This window comes from Homo sapiens, chromosome 20 (assembly GCF_000001405.40).
Source record: "Homo sapiens chromosome 20, GRCh38.p14 Primary Assembly".
Classification (NCBI taxonomy): Eukaryota; Metazoa; Chordata; class Mammalia; order Primates; family Hominidae; genus Homo; species Homo sapiens.
The window spans coordinates 10,401,009-10,410,993 of NC_000020.11; the positions used below are offsets into that span (position 1 = coordinate 10,401,009).

At 35.7% G+C, this 9,985-nt stretch overlaps 1 protein-coding gene across 3 annotated transcripts in view; it reads right to left on the bottom strand.

The window, feature by feature from the left end:
• MKKS (MKKS centrosomal shuttling protein) overlaps positions 1-9,985 on the bottom strand; it is a 33,214-nt gene continuing 23,229 nt past the window's right edge. For 2 of the 3 annotated variants that reach the window (NR_072977.2, NM_170784.3), the window contains 3 exons: positions 7,620-7,795; positions 6,608-6,718; positions 1-4,679 (listed from right to left, as the gene is read on the bottom strand). Coding sequence is in view for 2 of the 3 variants with exons in the window: in NM_170784.3 (NP_740754.1) it covers positions 4,239-4,679; positions 6,608-6,718; positions 7,620-7,795 (728 nt within the window). In the remaining variant the exon portion in view is untranslated. The remainder of the gene's footprint in view (positions 4,680-6,607; positions 6,719-7,619; positions 7,796-9,985) is intronic. The other variant, NM_018848.3, reaches the window with a different exon arrangement.

Genomic DNA, 9,985 nt, shown 5'->3' on the forward strand with positions numbered 1-9,985 from the left:
TCAAGATGGCTAAAATAAGATGTTTATTATAAGTATTTTCTCAAAGAGAATTTTTAATAGGAGATTGTCAAGCTGTTTTATTTCCCTCTAAATTCACACTTCATTACAGGTAATATAGTATTCTATGGATTTTAGTGCGCCAAGACTAATCGTCTCTCCAACAAACAGCTTCACTTACATTTAGGAATAGTTTTCAGGGATTGCATTCTCTTTCATGAATATTACTATATTCTTAGTAAAGCAGCATATAAATCTACTTATAATCCAAAAGTAGGCTAACATTGGGTTTAGGTGCATCTAAATTCAAATTCTGTAGATGATTGGCAAAAACTTCCATTATGGGATACAATAGTTACTAAATGGAAGCACTTAGCTACATGAAAAAAATTATAAAGATATCAGATATTCAAAATTGACTTTTCCTTCAGATTAAGAGATAGCTTTATTTAGACAGCTGAAACAGGGCCTTGTAGGAGATGTTTAGTCTCTTTGACTATTCCCCAAAGATTATCAGGAAGGAATAACCTAACTAATTGTATGTTTTGTCAAGGCCTGCATTGATTTTTTACATGATAATTTTAAATAACCTGCATAATGTATGTGATGGTAAACAACATTATTTTATTTTAAAGTTATCCAAAGAACTGCTCAACAATATGAACAACAATATGAAAATACATAGTACAATGGCTGATTTATGGTTACTTCAAATTTCTTGTCTACAATGTAAATGCCTAAGTAGCTTTGATAATACAAACCAAATGAGTTCAAGGATACCTATAATAAAAGATATTAATGTGATATAGTTTAAATATCTTGTGTAAAATACTTCACTTACATAAAGTGCTTCAGTCTAACAGTTGACTTACAATGTCTAACATATAAAGACTCTCTAATATGGTACAAATGGAAGAATTAAAGGGTAGGATATCTATAAGACCAAATAAGTATTTGATTAAAAGTTTCCTTTATTTGCTGTAGCTCTCCACTTTCTTCCTTGCTGCTAAAATCCTAATGCCTTTTGATTAATAAGATGATAATCCTGTTGGACTCCTATGGTTGAATAACGTTTAATGTTACATGTCCTGAGAGTCCCACGAAATTATTGAGCAGCTGTCACCGACTTCATTTTCTTCTTCACACTCTCCCTTTCCTTTTCCACAGCGATCACGGTTTCCCATTCTCTCTCCTGAGGTACTTCATAATGCAATATTCAGACCTCAATCTTACTTTAAGTCACAAAACACTGCCTGAGGCTTACCTTAGTTGCTATTTTTACTTATCATTTATTTCTGCCAAAAGGAACTCCTCTAAAATTATTTTCATCAAGAATTTTCATTTCATGTTTTATCATCTAAGTTTGAACGCTAATTTTCTTGAACTATAGAGGAAGGTTTTTTTTCTCTTTTTTTCTATTTCCAGTGTTTTCTGCTAGGGATTATTATAACTTTAGGAAACATAGAGGTATTTGTAAATATATTTTAACGAATTTGTGATATATTCAAAATAAGAGCATTGATGTTTCACTAAGGAATGTAATCAAATTGTATGGCAAAGCTAAAAATGATAGAATTTAAAAAGTGGCTATCGTGAAAAGTAGAAGCCCCTAATCTATAAGATCAATTGGAGAGGTTCGCTGTGTCACCCCTTCTTGGAGGAACTTGAAAAAATGCAGGATAAGGGCAAAGAGAACCAGGACAATACCCAACTCCTATGTGACACATTGTAAACACATGTGATAAAGAACCCTTCTTTTAGGTTGGGGTGATGATAAAAATGCAAAGGCATGGCATCAAGAATGCTTTTTTCCATTTATGTGACCAAGTTTTCAGTAAATAATTTATTACAAATAAGCTTTTCCTCCTGCCTTTATTAGATAGCTATTGCTGTATAAGAAAGTACATCCCAAATTTGACTTAAAACAACATTTATTATCTCACAGATTTTGTGGGTTAGGAACCAACCTGGGAGTAGCTTAGCTGGCTTTTTTGCATCAGGGTCTCTCGTGTGGCTCCAGTGGTAGGGCTATACTCAACTCAAGGTTCCACTGGGGAGAACCTGCTTCCAAATTCACTCTTGTGGTTATTGGTACGATTCAGTTCCTTTTGAGCTGTTGGCTAGAAGCCTCCCTCAACCCTTGCTATGTGGGCCTCCCCAGGGGGCAGTTCCCAACATGACAGCTGGCTTCCATTGAGAGAGAAGGCATCAAGAGACAAACTCATCTTTTTACCACCAAATATCAGAAGTGATATCCTGTCCCTTCTGCTGTATTCTATTCATTAGAAGCTAGTCATTAGGTCCCACCTACACCCAGAGAGTGAACCACCAGGAAGTGAGATTATTGGGAACCATCTTAGAGGCTGCCTACCACATGCAAAATACGTCCCCCCTACTCCTCAGATCCTCAAAAGTTTCACTTTTGCATTACAACATCAGCTCAAAGTTCAGAATCTCATAATTGGAATCAAGTCAGGGTGATATCATAACTGGAATCACCCCAGGCTTCCTCAGGAGGTAGTTCTTTAAGTACAGTTCCTGGAACACAGTTGCTTTCCATCTGTAGACCCATGAAACTAGAGAAAAGTTATCTGCCTTCTACTCACAGCATAAAATTATGGATAAGGCATAACCATAACCATCACCATAACATTCTGTCCACAAAGCTGGGAAATGGGAGACATAAAGGAGTCACTAAGTCTAGCCCATGCTCAAGGGGAGGAAATTATGCAAGGTCTGAAACTAGGAGGTGGGGCCACCTTAGAGGCTGCCTACCACACTGCCCTTCTATTTGATTGTAATAATAAAAGGAGTAAAACTTTTGATAAATATTTTATGAGACTTCAGGTGGGGCTGATACCTAACATATATGGATGGCATTGCTGCTTGTATTGCTAGTTTTTTCCTTTGGCTCAGAGTAAAAATTCTTTTTGATTACAAGAATATCAGAGGAAATTGTTTAACAATTCTATTTCTCTTTATCATGGCTATAGATCTGATCATTGACTATTAGGTTGGTTTGTTTCCCAAAAATTTCCAAAATATTTTCCTAAAGTTTAATACAACATTTGTTATAGCTCCATGCTTATTCATGTGGCTGCCTTCTATATTTCTTCTTCAATTTATCAATACATCTTATATTTGCATAAAATTCAAACTACATCCCTTGGTGAAACATAATGTCTCTACTTTGAACATGGGAGATTTTCTACTTTCTTTTTCATACTATTGACTAGAGAAATAACTTCCCCTTCCCTTTATGCTGCTTTCTGAAGTCCTGCTAGAATACTCCTTATTGTCCTTCCTTTTTCTATCAGTCTATGGTTCTCAACCAACAACAGTTTTGCTCTTCGGGGGACATTTGGCAATGTCTGGAAACATTTTTGGTTGTCACAACAGGAGGGTGCTACTGGCATCTAGTGTGCAGAGGCCAGGGATGCTGCTCAGTAAGCTGTAATGCACAGGGCAGCCTCCGTACAACAAAGAATTATGGGGCTCAGAATGTCAATAATGCCAAAGTTGAGAAACCCCAGTGTAAAACAAACCAGTCCTTCTTCCCACTTTAAAAATGAAGACATTACAATGTTGCTTTAGCCTTGGTTACTATATAAATCTACTTTTTCCCCCCAAAAGCAAACATTTCCCCAAAATAACAAAAATGTGGAGTTGTGATATAAACTACAAATTGCAGGCAAACCAGGTTCTACTCAATTACCTAACCACTGAAGAATATAGCTTGAGATAAAGGGCATGGAGAAAAGTGAAATTTTACTAAATGTGCAGTTTGAATACTTCTTTTGATTGAGCAATATATACTGAATGTTTTGTGACACTTTGAGATCTAGTTTTATACTTTAAGCATATGTAATTACTGCTAACTGGAAAATATCTAAAATATGTATATCCAAACTAGAGCATGGATTAGGAGTCTTTTTTATTTGTTTGCTCTCAAAATGATGCCAACATAACAAAAATTTAGAACAATGTACAGCAGCCAGTATAGAATCCCTAAGATAACTATAATATTTTTAAATAAATAATGCTTCATATTTTTATTGTTTCATGGCATTTCCATTCACGAATCACCTTTTTTCCTAAATAAGTGTATCTATAATTTTATGAGTCATTTGTCCAAATATGTAGAACAGGGCTTTGGGAGAAAACAAATACACTCACAATTTTTCTCAATTGCCAACAGACTAGTTTATTTGTTTCTCTTGTAATACGAACATGCTATTCTCTTAGTTTTTATCTTCAATAACATATGAAAGATCCAAAATCAAATTGGCTGTCTCTACAGCCACCTGTAGGCCACTAAGCTTTGCAGTCAAACAGTCCAAGGTCAGGTTGCTGGCTGAGCCCACAGCTTCATGTGGAAGGCAGCTTTGTGGCACAAATGGACGACGTGTGCTTCTTAAGAAAGACCAGTTGAGTTCTTCCTGGCTATTGTATAATCCACAGCCACACTGTGAAAGCAAATCTGGCCAGTTAGCAACACAGGGAGAATCTGCCTGAACTGACCAAAGGTGTCCATACTTCATGTCAGTGAGAATTTCACCTCCATCATGTTCTAAAGAGCCAACAACAGATTCTAGGGCACTGCAAAATGCTTCAGCAATTAATTGAAGTTCTGTTTGAGTACATTCATCATCTTTGAGAATGCTTTCTGGGTCGTTGTGAGTCTAAAGAGTAATAAAAACATTGAAAACACATACAAAGCAATTAATATAAAATGTTTCAGAAAAATAAGATACTGAAATCAAAATCTTATTCCTAAAGTAATTACTTACTTTCATTTAATTTGGGGTCTGGCACAATGCTAACGGGCTTGTATGGGTCAGCCGGCCGGGTTGCAAACCCTTAACTAGGTTGGTTATAGTAAAAATGTATTAAAAATGTATATACTACCAGTCATGTTACCAGAATGAGTGAATCAGAATAACCCCACCATCAGCTTATTCTGAATGAGGCTTGGTAGTGCCTCCTTAATACATGAAGGACTAGGCATAATACATGTATTACAGGTTTTTCTGCACACAGGAGGAAGTTCCTGAAGACTGATGTCCCAAATGGAGTACTTATTTATCTCTGCAAAATGTTTGAGATTTGCTTAAAATGGGAATGCACATATTTTTATTTGGAAATCATGATGTAAATTTTCATATCAATGTTTTAAAAATGAATATTCTTCTCTTTAAATTAATGAAAAGGTAATAAGACCTTAAACAGTCTTCTGGTTCCACTATTTAAAAATGTTTATCCTAGAAATTCCATGATAAAAAGAAAAATTAATATATAGCCATGCACCACATACCAACACTTCAGTCAATGATAGACTGCATATACAACAGTGGTCCCATAAGATTATAAGGCCATATTTTTACTAACCTTTTCTGTGTGTTGATATGTTTAGATACATAAATACCATTGTGTTACAATTACCTACAGTATTCAGTACAGTAATATGCTGTAAGGGTTTGTAGCCTAGGAGCAATAGGCTATACCACATAGCTTAGGAGTGTGGTAGGCTCTACCATGTAGGTTTGTGCAAGTACACTCTATATTGTTTGCACAACAATATTGTCTAATGATGCATTTCTCAGAATATATCTTTGTTAAGCAACATGTCTGTATTAGCAAACTAATAACTGAATGATGGGTTAAAAAATCCATATCTTAACTGCTTAAAAACAGTGACTACTTTCCTACTCAAGACACCTCCTTCCTCTAAAAAACTTTCTCTAGTTTATCAATTCCATTTCAGAATACATTATTGTCCATTCAGCACCAATAGATTGGCACAAATTTTGTTTTCCATAATGTATATTCTGATAACTTTTCATGAATGTGCTTTATCTTCAAAGAGATTCTAAGTTATTTGGGGAAGGACAGGGCATGTTTACCCAATGAATCGATTGCTAATATCTGGAAAACACCTATACCTTTTTCTATCCATTTTCAAATAAAGTAGGCCAGTACTTATGAAATAATCAGAACAACAATGCACTAAACTTATCTGAGAGCTGTCAGGAAATGGAGTTTCCTAGACCAATCAAAAAATTCTATTTAGTATAATTAATAAATAACATACATAAATACCAATTTTAAAATTATAATAGAATCTAATATGTGAATTGCTTAAATAAATGAAACTTTTCTTGATGCTCTAGAAGATACTGAAGTATTCTGTAGAAACTTGGCCCTTTTGTTTGTGAACATCAATTATTACTGTATTGCAGCAGTTGAGATCTCTAAGAGAACTCCCAATAACAGAATGCTAGCTTCAACATGCAGAACATGTAGACAATACTCAAAGAACGTGATCGCTTGCTTAAATATTTTTATAATAATCATTGTAATAAGGATATTACCTTATATTTACCTTGTTATTTCCCTCAAGTGTTTTTGATTATCTACTTTATTTAGACTACTGAAAAATTCAGTGTTAAAGGCTACAAGTTTACCTGTATAACAAACCTATACATGCACCCCTGAACCTAAAAGTTAAAACTAACAAAAAGACTATAGGATATTATGATTTTGGCTTATTATCTCAGAAAACAAAAGTTGCTGAGAATTCAGGTAATCCGAAGAGGATTATCTTACATACCTTGTGTCTGATATATGCAGCCAAATGAGTTTCAGTACAGCCACCTCCCAACAAAGCCCATGGTTCCTTGAGTGTTAACTGCAGGACATGCAGTGCCGTCTGACACGTGAGCTAAGAAAAAACCCAAATCATCAGAATCAGACGTTCACATCATATTAACACACAAAAAATCATGCTCTCAAAGCATCATAGTGAATACAGAGAGTGTGATTTTAATTACAAAAGAACAAAACTTGTGTGGTGCCAAGGTTGTCATGTGATTAATACATTCTGAATAGTAAGGTTTAGAGATTAAGGGAAGATACTTCAGTCAGAAGTTTGTTTTCACGGAGCCAGATTAGTATTTTCTTTCATATACACTTAGCTCTTCAAACTGAGACGAATATATGGCCTCAAAATATCTGGGTCAACAAGGTTTGCTGACACTTCCACTAAAAAAATCATTTCAGTCTAAATAATAAATTTATTTTGAATGGATTTGGAAATAATACAGTTACATCCCAGCAATAATAAATAAAAAATCACACAGACCTTTAACATTTACTAAGGATATATCCTTGAGCATACATGAATCTTTAAAACTTGTGACCAATCCCATAGATTATCATTTCCCTTGTATAAAAGTTGCATGTATTATTGCTGGCAGAGAACAGGAAACTCTGCTAAGAAGTGGATGATGGGTATTGACTGGGGAACTCATTTTTCCAAGTGAATTATTCATACACATTACCATCAAAGACTACACAATTCAAGCTAATTTCTTAGAAAAGTTCGCATGTCAAGGGCCTTTTAGGTTTCTAGTAAATAGTAGAAATAATAAATGGCAACACATGCCAAATTTATTATAATGCCACAGGCATTTAAATTAGCTTACTTGTGACTTTGCATCAATCATTTTAATTTTTGCTTTCTATACTACCTAGGGAAGCTACGAAAAAAAAATCATAATAACTATTGAGTGACTAATTCCTCCCTCAGCCTCTGCATATGGAATTCAAAGTTCATTACCTACCTTCAGCTCATCCCAGGCAGTGTCATTTCTGTTGCAGAGAAGCAAGCTGCAGATTGTTGCTTCATTAGGAATAAGATGAAAAAAATGTTTGGAGCCAAATTTTGCAGTGCACACATCTTTCACACTTCCATAACTATTAGGACATATTGAGCCTAGGGATCCAATAGGCTGTGTTCCTATTTTTTAAAGATTAGAAAATACAAGTTGTATAAGCAAAAGTGGAGCAAACAACCATTTAAAAGTATATTTATTCCTAGCCAACATAAAAGCCCCACAAGCATATAATTTAAAATATGAAATACAGGATAAATAAGATGAATATTCCTAAACTGCTAAGTTATATTCTGCTATTAAAATGATATACAAATAAAGTAAAGTAGAAGTTATTTTTGTTTACAGATCTCTTTGAAAATCTTTTAGAAGTCATTTTGTACTGTCTTCCCAGAAAAGGGCACATACAATTTTGCATACATTTTCAAGGAATTCAGAAAACCCTCAAAGCCCATTCAGGGTTTAGAGACCCCAAATTAAGAACTTCACTAATTTGGATTACGGGTGATGTGACAGGCTATTTTTTTTTAAAGGCATTATTATTTTCAATTTAAAATAAATGCTGCTATCCAAATAGTTGTGTAGTTGAATTCCTTCGGGACGCTACATAGTGAATATGTAAGAATTATTTTTTTGTCTGGCAACTATTTATAAAATAGCTAACTGAATTATGCCAAAATAAAGTGACATGCTTATTTCACTGCTATTATTTGATATATTAAGTATTTTGTCCTCCTACCTGCACATGTAAAATAGTGAAGTTTTATAAACCACAAGTAAAAATATGAATAAAGAAGTTAGCGTGACTTGAATTTTCCAAATCTCCAAACGTAATGGAAGTTATGTAAGAAAAGAAACCTACATCAAACTCCTACAAGAAACAATACTAAAGTCTAAAGCTATAATTCTGAGCCATTCACCCCTTTCAGCTAGTTTCCTTTTCTTTCAGACTCACCTTTAAAAGATGGTTTCTTTCAAACTAATGGGGTTTAGTTTGAAAGTCTAAAATGTCGGCCGGGTGTAGTGGCTCATGCCTGTAATCCCAGCATTTTAGGAGGCTGAGGCGGGCATTGCCTAAGGTCAGGAGTTCGAGACCAGCCTGGCCAACATGGTGAAACCCCGTCTCTACTAAAAATACAAAAACTAGCCGGGCGTGGTGGCAGGTGCTTGTAATCCCAGCTGCTTGGGAGGCTGAGGCAGGAGAATCGCTTGAACCTGGGGGGCAGAGGTTGCAGTGAGCAGTGAGCTGAGATTGCGCCACTGCACTCTAGCCTGGGCAACAGAGCGAGACTTTGTCTCAAAAAAAAAAAAAAAAAAAAAAAAAAAAGCTAAAATGCCTAAAAACACTTCCATCTCAAAAAATTTATAGAATATAATCACTAAACAATTTCACTTATTTGAATATTGTTTACTTCTGAAATATTCAAGAATAATGAATACTTTAAAAAAGTGATCTAAGTAAAAAACCCAAAATCTTATAGTATAATTTCTTTCACATGGTGGGAACAACAGATTCTGCATGAGAAGGCCGGCTCTACTGCTTATCAGCCACTGGATGCTGTCACTCATGTCATTTAACTTTTCTGCCTCCCTCACATGAGAGGCAAGTGGGGATAATAATGCATACTTCACAAATAAATCAAACCAAGTCAAATGTTAAAAATGCTCCAGGCCGGGCGTGGTGGCTCATGCCTGTAATCCCAGTACTTTGGGAGGTTGAGATGGGTGGATCACCTGAGCTCAGGAGTTCAGGACCAGCCTGACCAATATGGTGAAACCTGTCTCTACTAAAAATACAAAAAACTAGCCAGGCGTGGTGGCGTGTGCCTGTAGTTCCAGCTACTAGGGAGGCTGAGACAGAATTGCTTGAACCCAGGAGGCAGAGGTTGCAGTGAGCCGAGATTGCGCCACTGCACTCCAGCCTGGGCGATAGAGTGAGACTCCACCTTAAAACAAACAAAAACCTCTGTAAGCTGCAATATGCTTCACATGTGGCACCCATCCACAGTAACACCCACTACACAACCTATATCATTAATAAACAGGAATTTTGTTTGAAGGCCTGAAATGAGGTAATGTTAACTTAGATTACCAGGGGAGATAGGTAAGGCCAAAAACATACTTCATCTACCTAAAAGTTTACCTGCGCTATGTGCCTGGTAGTTTTCCCCCTTTTCTTTTTTTCTCAAAAGCTCTCTGCTCCCAAGATCCAGGACTAAAGCTATGGCTATTAATGCCATGTTTAGGTATATATTATGGGCTAGTGTGGAAACCCAGCCCCCAGTTACAATATGGTTTCTACGGGAAAATGTTTG